This window comes from Homo sapiens, chromosome 4 (genome assembly GCF_000001405.40).
Source record: "Homo sapiens chromosome 4, GRCh38.p14 Primary Assembly".
NCBI lineage: Eukaryota > Metazoa > Chordata > Mammalia > Primates > Hominidae > Homo > Homo sapiens.
This window is the reverse complement of record NC_000004.12, coordinates 127,333,778-127,353,640: the sequence shown is the minus strand read 5'-3', so window position 1 is coordinate 127,353,640 and position 19,863 is coordinate 127,333,778. Positions and strand designations below refer to the sequence as shown.

The following is a 19,863-nucleotide window of genomic DNA, read 5'->3' as shown; positions in this document are numbered from 1 at the left end:
ATCTTGCTTTGTTCTGTTTTTCAGTAGGAGAGTTCTTGTGATGTCTGCAGCCATGTCTGGAGTTTTGTATGAGGTTCGGTTAACTTCCCTAGTCCCTATATTTCAGATGTCAATATTCCTTGGGGTGAGGGGCAAAGCAAAGTCTTGTTATTTTTATAGATGCAAATGCTGTTCTGGTTAGCATTAAATTGCAGGAGCACTTCAGAATCTTGAAATAATTGGCAATTTATTTGTTTTCTTACTCAGAGTTTATTTTTGAAATGGAGTTTGACCTTCTGAGTAAAGTTTTTTGGTTTTAAAATTTCATGATAAATGAGAAGTGTAATAGTTTGTTTGGCTTCCAAAACTCACATTTTTCTAAATCTGCTATTATCCTACCCCCTTTCAGTTTTAGTCTTAGCTCTAATTTACATTATAGGTTCAATCCTTGTATAAGTCAGAGGAACCTAATTATAACTATAAAAACAACTCATTGGCTTAGGTTTGAGTAAATGTCCTCTGTTTTTGGCACTCCAGTGTCTAAATGATTTAGTTTTCTTTTTAAAATCTCACCTGAAACTATTTGGCTCCTGTTGTGTATTCTGTACTCTCCAGGGAATGGGTTCCTGATTAACACTGTAGTTCTATGGTGTGGAAGTTCTTACCTTATGCTTAAGTGGGTTATTACCTTGAACTTAAGTTTCGCAGTGACTTAGTTCCTGACATCTGTTTTGGCCATCAACAATGCCAACTGCCTTTCCTGTTTCGGTGTCTGCTTTCTGTCACCTTTTGTGTGAGCTCTTACTGCTTGATCTAGCATGGCTTGGATAGTAATGTAAGTATTTTGCTTAGTTAGTTGTGCTTATACCCTGTATGTTCTTTCTCCTCTTTGAATTGCTGCCCGCGGATTTGGCTTGCCACGTGAGCCTGGCTTGGTCTTCTCCCATATGAATTCAAAATATTCCTCCTAAGGTCAGGCTCAGCACTTTGTTGCATCTCCAAAAATTTCTATCTAAACAAATCAACAAATTCAATAAGGAACATTTTCCTCAAAGCCAAATCCAAAAGTATTATAGAGTGCTGCAGCATTTACTGAAATTCTCATGAGGTGACAGAAGAGCATAGCACAGTACAAAACCTGTTAAAATATTCTCTAATCATCTGTCTTATCTTCTGCTAGTCTCTCCTATCGCCTCTTTCTTTCTCTACAAAGTATAGCCCCACTCCCACCACAGGGTGGTGTCCCTCTGTGACTTGAGCACTGTAGTCCTTCCCCTCAGCTGCAGTGCTTCACTCCGCAAAACAAGAAACAACAACATGGGACTTTTCTAGTACATTCCTTGGGAAACTTGGTATGTCCTGCTTGAAAGAAAAGCCCAAATAAGACTGCCAAGATCATCCAGAGGTGGGTGACTTTTGCAAATGTGTATGCTATTCAGTCTTTATAGGTGTGTGTCTACTTGTTTGGGTATGAATGTAAATGTATATATGTGTGTTTTATAAAATTGAGATGATACTACATATACTAATTTATAATCTACCTTTTTATTTAATAAAATGTCATGGACAACTTCTAATTCTCCAATAGTCTTCACTTACATATTTTTGGTGGTTTCAAGAATTGTACTGTATGGAAGTTTCATTATTAATATGTTATCTTGTTAGCTGTTTAGGCTACATACAATTTTTTCCTCTCATAAATTGTCTGTAATGATTTTGCACCTTATTATTTCCTCATGATAAAGATAACAGAAACAGGATTTCTAGGTGGAAATGTATGAGCATCTAAAAAGTTTTGATGCACAATATGTAATTGACTCCCAGAGTGATTATGCCAATGCCCTGCCCCCTCACCTGGAATATATATACTTAGTTTTTCATCATTGTATTAGACGAGGAGGAATAGAAGGCATTTTTCTTTACATGTTCAATGATTTGATTACTACTTAGGTTAAATATATTATAAGATTTGTCAAGCAATGCAGTCCCATATAACTACCTTATGTATTTCTTTGCTTGCTTGCCTGGGCTTATCCACTGCTAGGTCTTTATTAGTGTTGCTTCTTTCTTTCTCTTACAGGTGACTTGTGATCTGATTTTAGTCTATATCAGTTCCTACGTTTGCTTTGCTTACTTTGTTCATAGGCCGTTTTTATACTCAGGCTATTCCTTATCCTATACCGCTTTCCAGCCTCGCTACTTGACTATGTTGCTAAGAACTTAAAGATGACCTTAAAGATAATCTGAGAAAAATAGATTCATTTTTGTATAGATTCACACCAAATTCACATTAAAACTACCCATTTGAGATACTGAGTCAGGGGGTGGACTAAGAATAAGTGGGCTTTGTGGGAAAGCTGGAAGCAGGGATATTTATCAAGGATCCTTGGGTAATAGCTCTGTTTTCTCCCATACATGAGGAAGTCCTTTAGATGAGGATGCTGTTTAGTGCAAGAACCTAAATTCTATTATTTGCTTCTGGGGAAACAAATGGGAGCAAAGAGATAGTGTAAATTATTTTGGAGTGGTAAATGGTGATGGCGTAGCAAGCACCCAGTTTCTCAGAATCAGTAAGACCTACCTTGTGCACATACTGTTGCTGACAGCTACTGCTCTGCTGTTTCTCAACCCCACTCCAAGGGAAGGTAAACTTTGAACTCTGCTATGCTGCATTCCATCCTGCTCTCTGCCACCATCTTGTTTTCTACAAGATCTTCTTATGTGCTTGGCTTATTAATCATGAATGTAATCTAATCTTATATTGTGATTGCATGTTGCTTTTTTTCTTTTTTTTTTAACTTTTACGTTTGGGAGGACATGTGAAGGTTTGTTGCATAGGTTAACTCATGTCATGGGGGTGTGTTGTACAGGTTATTTCGTCACCCAGGTATTAAGCCCAGTACCCAATAGTTATCTTTTCTGCTCCTCTCCCTCCTCCCACCCTCCCCTCGCAAGTAGACCCCAGTGTCTGTTGTTTCCTTCTTTGTGTTTGTAAGTTTTCATCACTTAGCTCACATTTAGAAGTGAGAACATATGGCATTTGGTTTTCTATTCCTGCATTATTTTGCTAAGGATGATAGCCTCCTATTAGTTAGATTTGAGTTGCTGATAAAATGGAGATATTTCTGTATAGTGTATTACAAGGTAATATGCTTATTACCTTGTTTTCCATTTTATAGATGGAGTCATATTTGTTTCATATGAGAGTTGGCTTGCACTTTTACATCCATCCATGTTCCCACAAAAGACACAGTCTCATTCTTTTTAATGGCTGCATAGTATTCCATCATGTATATGTCCCACATTTTCTTTATCCAGTCTGTCATTGACGGGCATTTAGGTTGGTTCAGTGCCTTTGTTATTGGGAATAGTGCTGCAATGAACATAATGTGTGCATGTGTCTTTATGGTAGAATGCTTTGTATTCCTCTGGGTATATTCTCAGTAATGGAATTTCTGGGTTGAATGGTACTTCTGTGTTTAGCTCTTTGAAGAATCACCATACTGCTTTCCATAATGGTTGAACTAATTTACACTCCCATCAACAGTGTATAAGTGTTTCCTTTTCTCCACAACCTCACCAGCATTTGTTATTTTTTGACTTTTTAATAATAGTCATTCTGACTGGTGTGAAATAGTATCTAATTGTGGTTTTGATTTGCCTTTCTCTAATTATCAGTGATATTGAGCTTTTTTCATATGCTTATTGCCACATGTATGTTTCTTTTGAGTTTGTCTGTTCATGTCCTTTGCCCAGTTTTTAATGGGATTGTTTGTTTTTCTCTTGTAAATTTGTTTAGGTTGCTTTTAGATGGTGGCTATTAAACCTTTGTCTGATACACAGTTTGCAAAAATTTTCTCCCATTCTGTAGGTTGTCTGTTTACTCTGTTGATAGTTTCTTTTGCTGTGCATTAGCTCTTTAGTTTAATTAAATACCACTTGTCAATTTTTGCTTTTGGTGTCTTTGTCATGAAATCTTTGCCCAATCCTATATCCAGGATAGTATTGCCTAGGTTGTCTTCCAGGGTTTTTATAGTTTCGGGTTTTTCATCTTGAGTTTATTTTTGTATACGGTATAAGAAAGAGATCCAGCTTCAATCTTTTGCATATGTCTAGCCAGTTATCCCAGCACCATTTATTGGCTTGGGAATCTTTTCCCTATTGCTTGTTTTTGTCAGCTTTGTCGAAGATTAGATGGTTGTTGGTATGTGGCCTAATTTCTGGGCCCTCTATTTTGTTCCGTTGGTCTGTGTGCCTGTATTTGTACTGCCTGTATTTGTACCAGTACCATGCTGTTTTGGTTACTGTAGCCCTGTAGTATAGTTTGAAGTTGGGTAACATGATGACTCCAGCCTTGTTCTTTTGCTTAGGATTGTCTTGGTTATTCAGGCTCTTTTTTGGTTCCATATGAATTTTAAGATAGATTTTTTTCTAGTTCTGTGTAGAATGTCATTGTCAGTTTGATAGGAATGGCATGTTGCTTTTTTCTACCAATCCATAGCTTCTGAGGGTTAATCATTGCATAGTCGAAAACCCATTTTAATGAAGATTTGGGTAACATAAAATGGAGATATTTCTGTATAGTATATTACAAGGTAATATGCTTATTACTTTGTTTTCCATTTTATAGATGGACTCATATTTGATTCATTTGAGAGTTGGCTTGCACTTTTACATCTTAATTTTAATTTATAATCTACTTACCCCTAATCTTTATGTCTTTCATTCTGTATTAGTAAGACTAGCTGATGCTGAATTAACAAAGCACCCCCAAATCACCTGGCTTAACACAATGCAAAATATTTCTCACTTATGCTACCTGTCCTTTTTTAGGGAAATTAAATATTATAGATAAAGCCCAAAACTCACTATCCTCCCTTTTCTGCTCCATCTGTCTCTAGAGGTGATCAGATGTAACTAAAGTTAGTGAAATTTATGACAAACTTCAAATTTCTATAAGAAGTTGGGATTTTGATTGGAATTTCATTGATTCATATGTTAATTAAGGGATAATTGCTGCCTTTACAATATTGATTTTTTCTATTTCTAAATAGATCACTCCATATATTTGTCTTCTTTTATGTCTTTCAATAAATTGTTATTATTTTCTCCATTAAGTTCTTGCACATCTTTTATTAAATTTATTGCTAGGTACCTTACATCTTTTTGTGGGTTTTTAAGAAGTGTCTGTCGCAGACTTTATGTAGTAGCAATTTTCAATCTCCTCTGCAGCTAGAGGTGGCCATATGACTTAGTTCTGGCCAATGATGTTTAAGAAGTTCTTATAAGGTGATTATTCAGATTTTTTTTTTCCTGGTAAAAGAGACAGGTATGGTACTGTGCTGTTCTTTTCTCTTTCTTCCTGCTTGTAATAGAGGTGTGAAAACATATTTCTTAGAGCTACTTCAACTATTCTGTCAATATGAAATGACAAAACTGTGAGTATAAAAAACATGGCAGTTAGGTGGAAAAAAAAGCCTTTAGATACTTGGCTGAGATCGTAGAGCAGCTGAAGTACGTAACTGTTTTTTTTTCCAGGTTTCCTGCCAAGTGAGAAAAATAAGCCTTTATTTGTTTGTCACAGTTATTTGTGTTTCTATTACTTTCACCCAAACCAGTTCTGACATAGTGGCTATTGTGATATTAAATGTTTTAATTGTTTGTTGTGTTTAGGATAAAATTAATTATTATTTTATAATCTTGTATTCAGTGATGTTCTTAAAATTTATTATTAGTTCTAATAGGTTTCTATCAATTCTATTGAATTTTTTTCTCTACCCAATCATATGTTGTGAAGTATGGTAGTGTTTATAAGAATAGTCAGGACAGGAAACTAGGAAGTAGGTACTGAAGATGAACTATTTCTTTGTTTTGACCACCTTAAAGCTGTATGACTTTTGTTTAACTGTAATCAACTTCATGCAAGATTATAAATGTTTTTGAGTTTCTCATTACTCCCATATAAAAATATAACATAGCAAGACTCTATCTCTACAAAAAAAATTAAAAATTAGCCAAGTGTAGTGGCACACGCCTTTAGTCCCAGCTACTTGGGAGGCTGAGGTGGGAGAATCACTTGAGCCCAGGAATTCAAGGTTGCAGTGAGCTATGGTTATGTCACTGCACTCTAGGCTGGGGGAACAGAGCAAGATCTTGTATCTAAAAAAAAACAAAAACAAAAACAAAAAAACAAATCCAAACATTTGCCTTAAAAAAAAATCAGGACACTAGTCTAGTTAACTCAATTACTGTACATGAGGTTTAAAAGGAACTTTCCAAAACTTCTGTAGAGATGATTTAGGGACACTGTTTTTAAACTTCTTGAAATCGAGATATGCTGGGAGTATGGGTTTGACAATAGCAAAGGGCAGATGGTTGAAGAAAACTGTATGAAGTGTGGGATTGTGGTACCACTTACCAAATAACTCACTTTACTCCCTATTACTGAACATGCTTGACTTAATGGACCAGAGAGAGGTCTGAACAGAGGTATAGAAGTAGATGTATTTGGAATACATTCACAAATGGTTAAAGAACAAATGTGAATTCTACTTTTTGTATACACAATTACATATTTGATTTTTAAAATTTAGAGACTATCTGTAGTTATGTTTTAATTGTATCTTTATTTTTTATGTCTGTAAAATTTGTGGAAACCGAAGCAAAGATTAGTCAGAAGGTTTTTTAAATGATGTAGCATTTATTTGGGGTGAACTAATTTTTAATTAATTTTAATTAAAATAATATACTACCTAGGGAAACTCAAGGGAATTAAATTATGACAAATAATATGAGAGTTCAGCAATATATGTATTTATAGTATTAATATTTGAAAAGTAATAAAAATAGTACAAGTTTAATAACAGTATAGAGTTAAAAGTTTTGTTTATTGTACTTAGTGACAATGTTTTAACGGTAGATTTGTTTTGTGGAAATGTGAATGTTAAAGCACTCTGATTTAAAACATTTCTTTTATGGTATTTTACTGTAACCCCTTTTCCTATTTTAGATGTTCTACTTGTAGTAAAATATCTGCATACTTGAAACTCTGTATCTAGGCAGAAATTATTATTTTCTAATTGGTTGGCAGAGAATGGCGGAGCTCTATGCCTTTTATCTAATTGTAATCAATTTCACACAAGATTATAAACTTTTTTTGAGCTTCTCATTACTCTCATATAAGCACATAACATAGGGATACTTTATCTGTACAAAAAAAATTAAAAATTAGCTTGGTGTGGCGGCACCCGCCTGTAGTTCCAGCTACTCAGGAGGCTGTGGGAGGATCGCTTGAAACCTTCAAGTAAATTTATTTCAGTGTGACACTATTGCTACTGCTTCCTGTTTGATAATTAAACATTTCCACTTTTATTTTGACTCTGCCTACCTTGAGTATCATGAAGAGGAAATGTTCTCATTTTTATTTTTTTTTCAATTTCTGAAGTTCTAACATTGAAACTCCAGTTTCCATCCCTTAATCACTCTTCCACTGGCTTTTATAACCATGTTATTCTATATTCTCTTTTATCTTTTGAAATATTCTTTCATTTTAATTGCTTTCGATCCTGTCTTTCTCTACACATCAACTAGAATGCTTAACAATATGGTTATACTTATCATATAACCTAGAAATTCTCCTCTTAGATATTCACTCCAGAGAAATGACAATCTATACCAATGCAAAAGCTCTTATGTAAACATTTTTAGCAGGTTTATTTATAGTAGCTTTAAAGTTGTAATAACCCAAATGTCAATCAATCGGTGAACAGACACACAAATTTTGGTATATTCATACAGTAGAATACTCAACAACAAAATGAAACAAACCATTGATACACACAACATAAACTTCAAAACATTTATTCTATGTGAAATAAGCCAGGTACAAAAGACCAGATAATGTAAATTTATGTATATGATATTTTAAAAAGGCAGAACTACCGTGACAGAGAATTGGGGATTGCCAGGTGATGAGCCTATGGGAAGTGGATCTGACTGTAAAGAGGCATGAGGAAATGCTTTTGGGTGATGAAAATGTTCTATATCTTGATTTTGGTGGCTATTATATGAGAGTAAACGTTTGTCAAAACTCATGGAATTTAACTGGTGAATTTTATTATATATAAATTATAATTCAATAAAGTGGATTAAAAATACTGAAAAGAAGGAATTCCTTGAGACATCATTTTTGGAAACATGTCAAGGAGTATTAAAATGCCTCTTTGTGTAAAGGCTTGAATCCTGTCATCCTAATCTAAGAAGTATGTTTGATTGTCTTAAGGTAGTGGTATGGTTTCTATAAAAACCATATTACATTCTAATTAATGAGATTAAAAATATCTAGGCAGTGCAAGACCTAGGCCAGAGGAAAATCAAAGAGAATAGTGACTAAAATGAATACATTCTATGAATTAATCCAAATGAGAGGCAGGCAATAGGTCACTATTTAGATATGACTACCAGAAGAAAATCTTACATTAATGATCAGAAACACATTTTTGAAATATCTGTATCAAATCTCATGAAATTAGGAGAGGCAAGCTTGAAGAGGGTCACTGAGTCTCCACAAGATATGAAACTCCAGGATGACTAGGATATCTAGTCTTAGGAGGAAATTCTGGAGATGGATTGACAAGAAAATCTGACAGCAAGGTTTAGTTTACACTGTTGGCCAGGAGCTGGAAAGAAGGCTGTCATGGCAAAGGGAACCATCATTTTTCTTTATTTCACACTACCACCTGCATCCAAGTTTCCAGCCACACTGTCTTGGGCTAAAACAATTGCTGGAAACTTCATTTCTCTTTGCTGAAGTATAATCACTTACAGGTTATTTGTGTGGATATATTTTTTTCTTCCTGTTGGCAATTTTGAATTTTAGATGATTAAATTCTATCCTTCAATGTGAACTGCTTTGTGGTTTATTCGTTTATTAGAGGGAAGTGTGGCCACTGCCTCTGGAAGATGCCATAGTGGTGTATCTAAACGGGGATGAAGTTTTTGCTGAGGAGAGATGGTATGTTAGCTTTGGCCTTGAGTTCTTGAAGGACCATGATTGAAAGTTGTTCCAGGAGACATATTAATCTTTTTTAGTTGCCAACTTTGTGGTTTTCCTGTGGAGTTGGTCTAGTTTTCATCAACAGCTGTGGTTAATTTTTGGGAGCCAGGAGTAGCCATTTTGGAGGTGATTCTCCCTTTTTCTTTGAATGACGATACAATTTTTTGACTCTGGTTGCTGTGGTATTATGCTTTTATATTTCCTTAATTTATAACTGATTAAAAGCGATGGGCTAGAATTTTACATAAGCTAAGCAGAGGTCTAAGGGTTGTTTACTGACAGCTCATGCAACCCATGCAGATTCTCACATCGTTGGTTTGGAAGAGGCCATTTGGGTTGGGAGAGGCAAGAGATGAGAACAAATATGAATTGGCTGATGTTCAGGCTCTGTCCATAGCTGCCACTTAACATAGATCTGGATGTGGGTTTTAGAGTGTGCATGACATGATTGCTTATATATGGAGAGTAAAGTAACTGATTAGATTTTTTTCATTTCTCTAAAGTACAGTTTACATACAGTATAATTTATCCTTTTAAGCATATGGTTCTGTAAGTTTTGACAAACAAAAAGTCACATAAGCATTTCTATAATCAAGATATAGATGTAGTTTTTAAACAAGTTTTAGGCCGGGTGCAGTGGCTCACACCTGTAATCCCAGCACTTTGGGGTCAAGGGATCGAGACCATCCTGGCCAACATGGTGAAACCCCGTCTCTACTGAAAATACAAAAATTAGCTGGGTGTGGTGGTGCGTACCTGTAATCCCAGCTACTCAGGAGGCTGGGGCAGGAGAATGGCTTGAACCTGGGAGGCGGAGGTTGCAGTGAGCTGAGATCACATCACTGCACTCCAGCCTGGCAACAGAGTGAGACTGTGTCTCAAAAAAAAAAATTATTTCAATAGGTTTTTTTAGGGGAACAGGTGGTGGTTAGTTACATGAATAAGTTATTTAGTGGTGATTTTTGAGATTTCAGTAAACCCATCACCAAGCAGTGTACATTGTACCCAGTGTGTAGTCTTTTATCCCTCGCCACCCCCCACTCTTTCCCCCAGGTCCCCAAACTCTAACGTATCATTCTTATACCTTTGGTCCCCATAACTTAGTTCCCACATATGAGTGAGAACATGTGATGTTTGGTTTTCCATTCCTGAGTTATTTTACTTAGAATAATAGTCTCCAACTCCATCCAAGTTGCTCTCTGCTGCTCAGAGAGAGAGTGCTCAGAGAGAGAGAGCGGGGGGCTATGTGTGTGTGTATGTGTATATACACGTGTATATATGTGTGTGTATGTGTATATACACGTGTATATATGTGTGTATACATATGTGTATAACATGTGTGTATACATATGTGTATAACATGTGTGTATACATATGTGTATAACATGTGTGTATACACACACACACACATTTTCTTTATCCACTCATTGATGGGCATTTGGGCTGGTTCCATATTTCTGCAATTGCAAATTCTGCTGTACACATGCGTGTGCAGGTATCTTTTGATCTAATGACTTCTTTTCTCCTGGGTAGGTAGTTAGTAGTGGGATTGCTGGGTCAAACGGTAGATCTACTTTTAGTTATTTAAGGAATCTCCACACTGTTTTCCATAGTGGTTGTACTAGTTTACATTCCCATCAACTGTGTAAAAATATTCTGTTTTCACCACATCCCCGCCAATATCTATTATTTTTTGATTTTTTGATTATGGCCATTGTTGCAGGAGTGAGGCGGTTTTGCATTGTGGTTTTTATTTGCATTTCCCTGATAGCAATATCGAGCATTTTCCCATATGCTTGTTGGCCATTTGTATATCTTCTTTTGAGAATTGTCTATTCATGTCCTTAGACCACTTTTTGATGAGATTATTTGCTTTTTTTTCTTGCTGATGTGTTAGAATTCTTTGTAGATTCTGGACATTAGTCCTTTGTCAGATGCATAGATTGTGAAGATTTTCTCCCACTCCGTTGGTTGTCTGTTAACTCTGCTGATTATTTCTTTTGCTGTGCAGAAGAAGCCTTTTAGTTTCATTAAGTCCCATGTATTTATCTTTGTTTTTGTTGCATTTGCTTTTGGGTTCTTGGTTTTGAAGTTTTTGCCTAAGCCAATATCGAGAAGGGTTTTTCTGATGTTATTTTCTAGGATCTTTATGGTTTCAGGTCTTAGATTTAAGTCTTTGATCCATCTTTTGTATAAGGTGAGAGATGAGGATCCAGTTTCATTCCTCTACACTTGGCTTGCCAATTATCCCAGCACCATTTGTTGAATAGGGTGCCCTTTCCCCATTTTATGTTTTTGTTTGCTTTGTGGAAGATCAGTTGGCTGTAAGTATTTAGGATTATCTCTGGGTTCTCTATTCTGTTCCCTTGGCCTATGTGCCTATTATTATACCAGTACCATCCTGTTTTGGTGACTATAGCCTTATAGTTTGAAGTCCAGTAGTGTGATGCCTCCAGATTTGTTCTTTTTGCTTAGTCTTGCTTTGGCTATGTGGGCTTTTTTCTTTTTTCTTATTTTTTTTGGTTCCATAATTATTTTAGGATTGTTCTTGCTAGTTCTGTGAAGAATGATGGTGGTATTTCGATGGGAATTGCATTGAATTTGTAGATTGCTTTTGGCAGTATAGTCATTTTCACAATATTGATTCTACCCATCCATGAGCATGGGATGTGTTTCCATTTGTTTGTATCGTCTACGATTTGTTTCATCAGTTTTTTTGTGTGTTTTTTTTAGAGGTCTTTCATTTCCTCAATTAGGTATATTCCTAAGTATTTTATTTTAATTTTTTTGCAGCTATTGTGAAAGGGGTTGAGTTCTTGATTTGATTCTCAGCATGGTCACTGTTAGTATATAGCAGAGCTGCTGGTTTGTGTACATTAATTTTGTATCCTGAAACTTTGCTGAATTCATTTACCAGTTTTAGGAGCTTTTTGGATGAGTCTTTAGGGTTTTCTAGATATACGATCATATCATCAGCAAATAGCGACAGTTTGACTTTCTCTTTACTGATTTGGATGCCCAAGATACAGATATAGTTTTATCATCCCCCCAGATCCCCTGTTTCCATTTGTAGTTAACTCTTCCTCTGATTATCTGTTTTCTGTCCCTATAGTTTTCCCTTTTTCAGAGTGTCATATAAATTCAGTCACGTAGTATATGTATTTTTGAGTTGGCTTCTTCCACTTAGTGATGCATTTGAGATTCATTCATGTTGGATGTATCAGTATTTAATCTATTTATATTCATGAGTGGTATTCCATTATATAGATGTACCACAGTTTATTTTTTTTATTCACCAGTGTAAGCATGTATGGGTTGTTTCCAGATTTTGAAGGTTATAAATAAAGATTATTTTTAAATTAACACCTACATGTAAGTTTTTCTGTGAACATAAGTTTTCATTTTATTTGGGTGAGTATTTAATAGCATTGTTGAGTCATCTGGTTGGTAATGCATGTTTAAATTTATAAGGAACTGCAGGACTATTCTCATAAGTGACTACACTATTTTGCATTTCTTCCAACAATGTATGAGAGTTCATATCACTCTGCATCGTTGCACACAATTGGTATTCTCAATATTTCATTTAAAAATTATAATCATTCTAAACTAGGGCATGGTACTATGTCATTGTGTTTTGGGTAAGGATAGGTTTAATTTGCAGATGGTCTGGGAGAACACTAACTTTATTTCCAGGATTATTTTGATAACCTGGTACTGATCCATGGTCAAGATAAGAATGACATCAATAAGAGTAATTTATAATTTGGTGTTTTAGACCTAATACTCCCCTGGAGGCACTTGTGGTTTTAAAGTCTTTTTGTAAATTTCCTTCAAACAGTGGAGCTTAATTTTCTATGCTGTCCTCCCCACCCCAAGAGTGCTGGCTTTGGTGGTTCATTTTTAATGAGCAGCAAATGATGCAAGTGATAGCGTGTAACATTCAAGACTAAAAGGCATGTGGCTTTCTCCTTGCTTCCTCTTCTCTGGAATCACTCCCCCTGGTGAAAGCCAGCCGACAGCCATGTCATGAAGACACCCAAGCAGCCCTATGGGGAGGCCCACAGAGAGGACCTGAAGCCTCTTGCTAAGGGTCGTGTGAGTGAGCTGTCTTGGAAGTGGATCCACCAGCCCTAGTCAAGCCTTCAGTTTACTGTATCCCTAAGTCAACATCTTGAGTGCAACCAGGTGAAAGACACTGAGCCAGATCCACCAAGCTAAGCTTCTCGTGAATTACTGACCCATAGAGACTGTGAGAAGATAAATGTTTGCTAGGGTGATTTGTTATGCAGTAATTGATGCAGATTGGTGCAGATTTTGGTACTGGATGTGGGGTGCTGTTGTAACAAATACCTACAAATCTGGGAAAGCCTTTGGAATCAGGCAGTGAGCAGAAGATGGAAGGACTTTCTGGGAGAGTCTTGAAGTTCTTTCCCTGATTTTTGCTCTTGTGTTTTAGCTTTGGTGTAAATATTAGGCTTTACCTGATTTTAGGCTTTTTCTTTTAAATGCATTTTATGATAGCTGACTCAAAATTATATACAGAGGACCATTTGTTTTAGGATTTTAAAAATGTCACACAGTTACCAAGTAAAATCATAAATCATGAAACACCCTTATTCAATTTCTTAAATATCTCCTTTTTTAGTGATTACTGTAACAGTAGGAAGTCCTTGTCTCAATTTTTGTTCTAAATTTTAATCTCAGTATGAGGTTTTAATGTAAAAAGTTGGATGAGAATAACTGATTATCTGGTTCCAAAAGACATTTCTAGAAGAGATCTCTTGGGCATAATCCACGCACCCAAGTTCTCACAGAGTAGGAGATTTACTACTTAAGAAGTTTAGTATCATTGGTGGATATTTTACATGTACATTTTTTAAGCTTCAAATTTAATTTCTTTGGCAATCCAAGCTATTCTCTGTATGAGAAACAAGAGAAGAAGCCAGATTCTCATTCAATCTGGAGGCCCTATGCTATACTAATGTATCATACCTGCCTTCCATCAATTCCATAGTGTTACATAAATTGTTGAGTTCTGCTTTTCGGCTTTTTCCTGGCCAAGGTGTGAAGGGGCCCAGGAGAGAGAGAAAAGTAAATCAGAATGTGTATACTGTCTTTTCCTCTCAGTAACCATGTCTGACTTAATCCTTGGCAGAGTCTAAGCACCCTTTTTCCCATGGTTGGGTCTTATTCCGTTCTCTTCTGGGGGTCGTGATGCAAATATTTAAACTTATATTGAATCATTGATATTCAGAATTGACAAAGAAAGGGGAAAAGTACTTTGGAGCACCTACCAAATGCCATTTATGTAACACAGTGTTTTAAATGTGTATCAGATTGGCTGGCACAGTTTGGCCAAACTCGTGGTGTTAAATATTGATCAGGATCTCATCTTGTTCAACTAAAACTACCAGCATTTTTTCTACTCAATTTGAAAGAAATGGTTGCAGATCATTCTCATGGAGTATATGAAACTGATCTTTTGTACTTGGATAGAAAATTTGGCTGGTTTCCTGAAAATCATCTGGCAGGACATGGTATATACAATATTCCACATAGTTTGGATATTAGCACTAGACCCCAGGCAATCCATTGAGATAGGCATCCAAGGCATATTTTCTAGACTCAAACTCTGCTTTTGTGGGAAGTCAGTTATGTTTTTCCTTTATTGTCATGGACTCACTGTCACGGTATTGCCTTTTTCCAGTGATGGGTTCAGTAAGTGGTGAATGCCTGACACAAATTAAGCCAATATATACATGTGTGGAATATTCTGTTTGTTAGTTATGCCATTATTTGGTGTATCTGTTTGGTTTTCCTGGAAGTATACTCTAAAATGGAGTTAGGAGTGCAAAAGGTTTGGGTCTAACGCCTGTGAAAGAAACGGGACGAGAGCAGGATTGTATAGGATGAGTCATCAGACTAGGATATAGACCTATTAAAGTTTCTGCCTGCCTGTTGGGCAGCTCTGTCATAAAAATCATCATAATGTGGAGCTTAAATGCCTAGACTTTTGTATCACCACCTCATTCAGTCATTAGCTAGGGGCCACCTTGAGAAGAATGTGACCTTGGCTCTAAAGCTGAGGCAGACCCTAAATAACTAACTTCTAGTGTTTGTTTAGCCAACAATAGTCCTTGTTTCTGGGCACAGAGTTATTTCTTGAAGAGGGAACTGATTAACACATCTTCCTGTATGTTACATGTTGCTAAAGGCCAATCATTTTTTGACTGTTTCCTGTGCCATCTTTACCTCAATTAGTTCCCATAGATATATCTATAAATATATAGATGTAGATATAAATGTGTAGATATAATGATATAAATGTGTAGATATAAAACTATGGAAAAGCCTTCTTTTCTGAAGTAGTTTCTTAAAAAAACCAAAGTGGAAAATGATAAAATGTTTAATGCGTATATATTTTAAATATTTTATTTTAACTCATTTTTATTGCAGATCTTTTATGTAGGGACAAAACCTTTTCTTTGAGTATAAAAGCCTTCTGAATAGAGTTCCATTTTATTTTCCACGCATAAGAAATATCAATAAAACATGATCTTGAAATTATAGTTTTGTGTTGTTAAGGTAGGGTATACACTATGAAACAATCTGATACAGGATTCCTTAGATTTTTATTATTTTTCAGCAATATTTTATGTTTTTTTTTACCAGTTTAACTCAATAGTGTTTGAAAATTATTCATCTTTAGACTCTTTAAGTCATTCAACCCATTTTTTTTTTTGTAGAGATGGGGTCTTGCTATGTTGGTCTGGGCTATGTTGCCCAGGCTGGTCTTGAACTCCTGGCCTCAAGTGATACTTCTACCTCTACCCTCCCAGTCAACCCAATTTTTATTAAAACAACTCCCTTTCCATTTTCACTCATTTTAAAGTTTAGATTATATTTATTAAAATTCATTGCACAAAAGTATAGGTTAGAGAACAAACAGATCAAACTTTTGTATGTATATGACTTAGGAGGTGAGAAAAGAAGTGTTCAGGCTTCCTAGAGGAAGGCATAGTATCCCTAAGACCTCATTTAGTTGTGAGCATTGGTCACTATCTTTTGTAGAGGGAAAGGAGAATGCCAATTGATCAGGCAAATAAGCAGAAAAAATTACTCATATACCCACAGCAATATCTCCAATGACATCTGTAACTGTATTTATATCTGCTGCATAAAGTTCATTTCAGATGATTACCAAACAGAACAATAAACAGATGATTACCAAAGAGGGATATGGCCAAATCACTGCTTGGTGAAATGGACTGTGCCATTGAATACACCTCAAGATGCCTTCTGACCTATTAGCTTAAAGCTTGGACTAGGGTAGCCATAAGCAGACTACTAGGTTTCTCTCCCCTCCTAGGCTGTGTTCTGTTTCTGGTTGGTCACACAAGGACATCCTTCTAAGTGGGAGTCTTCCCTAGACATGATTCACAATACAAGCTGCCTGAGATAGAGTGAGCCAAGCGAGAACTTCAGAAAAGAGGTAAGAGAAGGGTTTGGGGAGAAGAAAATCTTTCTCCCAGATCAGTTCTATTTATAATTGGTTTCCTCCTCTACCTAAAATCTCCACCCTTTACTTCACATCCTTGAAATACTCTTCTTTTTCTTCAACTTTGGGGATTGAAGAGAGGAATACTTGTGAGCCCCTAAAGGTTAGCATATGCCATGAATATAATCTTTCTATGTATTTTTAAGTTAATGAAAATGGACTATTCTTCCATCAGTTTTTGTGGGTGGCTTAAATCTGGGATGCTTGAATATTTGCAAGCATCTGACTGGAACATCCCACCAACCTGAGATATCCTTACCTACTATCCCAGTTTTCTTATTTACAAGGAAGAACTATGGAGAGGAAGTAGCTGATCATATGCTTCATAGGTACTTCCTCTGTTGAGGATCCTTGAATGATGGTTAGTTAAGCTGAGAACCCTGATAAGAGTCTACAAAGTCTTGAGTAAGTTAAAGGCACAATAGAAATATGCTACAATGGTCTAATGAAGTGATTCATTCTCAGTGCCAGGATATTTTATGGTTGTCATTGTTTTTTTTCTCACTTTGTGGGCATTGCAATGTATATTTTCCTTTTAATTTACAAGTAGGTGAGTACATCAATAGGGTGCTAGTATCTATCAAATAGAATGCTGTAGCACAAAAGGGAGAATAGTGGATGCTTTTAAAAAGAAATGGGAAAATTTCTCACCAACTTATTTATTCTTAACCTTTGGCATGATATTTAAATAAAATATGGTGATTGTTATGTTTAGGTGGAAATAGTTTAGGTTAATATTGTTACATTAGTCAAAATGATCACCTGTTGTTCATAGCTCTTATATTAAAGTTTAGCTGTGAGGATTTAAAGACATTTAAGTAAAAAAGAACTATGTAGTCAGAGAAATTTCTAAGTTCTACATGTGTGTGCCTGATGTACCTATAGCAGGTGTTCTCTGGGTAGGGAAACGAAGAATGGAGAGTTGCAGTTTTTAACAGGGTCCCTTTTGTATTGCTATCATGATTGTTGCTGTTGTTTCTCTTGGAAAAAGTTTAGGAAACCATCAGCAGTTTAAACTAGTCCATGGCATGGGGTTATTCAGTAAGATTCACTCCTTAGAGAGGGGCAATGCTTTTTCCCTATGCACGGAAATAAGAAGTGAGTGTTCCTTAAAGTACAGTTAGTCAGCAGTTTTGTTTTGTCAGAGATAAAGAACTGTTTTTTAACAAAAAGAGTAAAAGCTTGTGTTTGGAAGAATGTGATATGAACCATGATCTGTTACTGTGAAACTCTATGTTTAAGTGTTAGCCTGAATAAAAGCCACAGTCTTTTTGGATATTCAACTCCCATCAAATGACTGTGAAAGGTCTTTTAGTCCTTACTGGGGTCCCAGGGCCAGACATCACTTTTAGTGGACTTCTTTTTTCTTAATATAATAATATTTTAATTTTCTGGATCCTTTTATTTTTAGTAAATATCTAATTTTTACTTTGGGTTGCAGTATGAATTATTTACATATACCTACTTAGGGATAGGTACATAACAAAGGTTTACAGACTAAATGTAGTTTAAGTGAAATAATCTTTATGCCTTATGAAAATATACAAGTGAGTCATTCTTTATTGGAACTGAAGACTCGAGTTAAAAATTCTTTCCTGTAATCTTTTAAACATATGTTCTGCAGAGGAAAAAAATCTATTTTGCCTGGAGTCTTCTACTAAGTTAATAAAATGTTAATATTTTCCCATGTTATGAGTTCAGACATTTCTAAGGTCCTAAAATTACAGTGGCTAGAACTCTAAATGGGACAACACTAATAGTGGAACTGTGGAGTGAGGAGTGTGGAATAAGGAGAGATACTCAGAGCTTCCTTTATCTCTGCTGGTCTTACTTTCTCATATTGGCCTGGGCTAGGCAGTTCCAATTGCACAATTAGAGTCTACTCTCCAAAATGTCTGTTTTATTCATTACATAGAAGAAGATTAGACAAATTGGTGTGTGGGATGGTGAAATTGTGTGTGTGTGTGTGTGTGTGTGTGTGTGTTTAATGTACAAAAGGATCTTACAGACTTTTGAGTAAGAGCAGATTGACTCTATTTTTTAGGAGTACGTGAGAACCCAGTAATGCCCTCAGATATAAAATCATCTACTTAAGTTTTATGAGAAGTAAAAATTTGGAATTTAAAAGAGACACGGTAACATGTCATTTTCGTATGTTTTCTTTCTTTCTTTGGTGGATAGCAAGGTTTTTTTTAATGCAAGACTTTTTTTATCCTGGTGTTGGAACCTTTTTCCTCTCTTTGAATGAGAGAGCTTTTGGCACTTATTGATTGCTGAGGACATCCATCTTTCATCCCAAATAGGCAGGATTGACACCTTTGAGGTCCCAGGCACATGTATACCCAACAATCCACACAAGTAGCTTTTGGGGCCACTCTGTCATCGGGGCACCTAATTTCAAGAGAAATGGATGAGGTAATGTCTGTAAAGAACTTTGAGAAGGCTAAGCAGCAAAATAAAATATTTTTAGAACAAGTTATTACATTGGACAAGCAAGACCTAAATGTGTAATGTAAAGCAAAGTGAGAAGAACACAGAATTGTTGTGCCAGTCAAAAGCAGCCCTGTGATCATGGTATGAGTGCAGGGACCTGAAGTATAAAAGATTGCACAGCAGGCACAGAAAGAGACAGAGCAAAGGAGAATCAAGGACTGGATTAAATGACCAAATAGAGACCAAAAAGCTTGGGAAGGTAGAAGGTCACAGTGGATAACAAAGTAGGGTAAAGGAAATAGGGTTTGGGCTTCTCTATTTCTCAACTTTTTAAATCAAGTGATTCTTCATTTTAGATGTTTTTTTCTCTTTTCCTTTTGTTTTCTCATGTTCTTCAATTCCTCCTATTTAGTTTCTTATTGACACTCTGAACAAAGCAGTGGAATAATCCTCAAACATGGTTTTTATCACATTGTTTTCCTCATCAAGAGTGTACAATGAAAGTCTTCGTCTGTTACAGGAGTTTTTCCATTGTTTTAAAATGTATCTTTCAAATGAAAGATTACTTAGAAGAGCAATTGTAAAACAGTTGAAATTATTTTTGTTCCAGTGCAAACAGAGGAAGGGAGGCTAGAATATTGCCTGCTTATTCTCCCCCTTCTCAGCGTCTGGGAGAATTCCTTGTAACTCTCTGATCATTGGATGAAATCTAAACCCCTCAGTTGATATCCAAAGACCTTCATGCGATGGCCACTCATTCCTGTAATACCTGGCCAGACTCAACCTTTATTTTTGAGCATGCCTCTGCTTTTCCACTCGGGGTCTCTCCGTACTG

At 35.9% G+C, this 19,863-nt stretch overlaps 1 long non-coding RNA gene across 3 annotated transcripts in view, besides 1 other annotated feature; it reads left to right on the top strand.

Annotated features, from left to right (window-relative positions):
* The window catches only part of LOC102724210 (uncharacterized), a 396,780-nt gene that overhangs the window by 116,915 nt on the left and 260,002 nt on the right, over positions 1 to 19,863 (top strand). For 2 of the 3 annotated variants that reach the window (XR_939184.4, XR_001741825.2), the window contains exon 1: positions 1,262 to 1,384. The exons of the other annotated variant lie outside the window; for it this stretch is intronic. This is a non-coding gene — a long non-coding RNA (uncharacterized LOC102724210). Of the gene's footprint in view, positions 1 to 1,261; positions 1,385 to 19,863 lie in introns of those variants that run through there. 3 annotated transcript variants of the gene reach the window in all.
* Positions 1,113 to 1,407: a silencer, noted in NCBI's record as "tiled region #9584; K562 Repressive non-DNase unmatched - State 13:Ctcf". NCBI's record gives its function as "represses a minimal TATA promoter and a strong SV40 promoter by Sharpr-MPRA in K562 cells {active_cell/tissue: K562}" and the evidence as "EXISTENCE:reporter gene assay evidence [ECO:0000049][PMID:27701403]".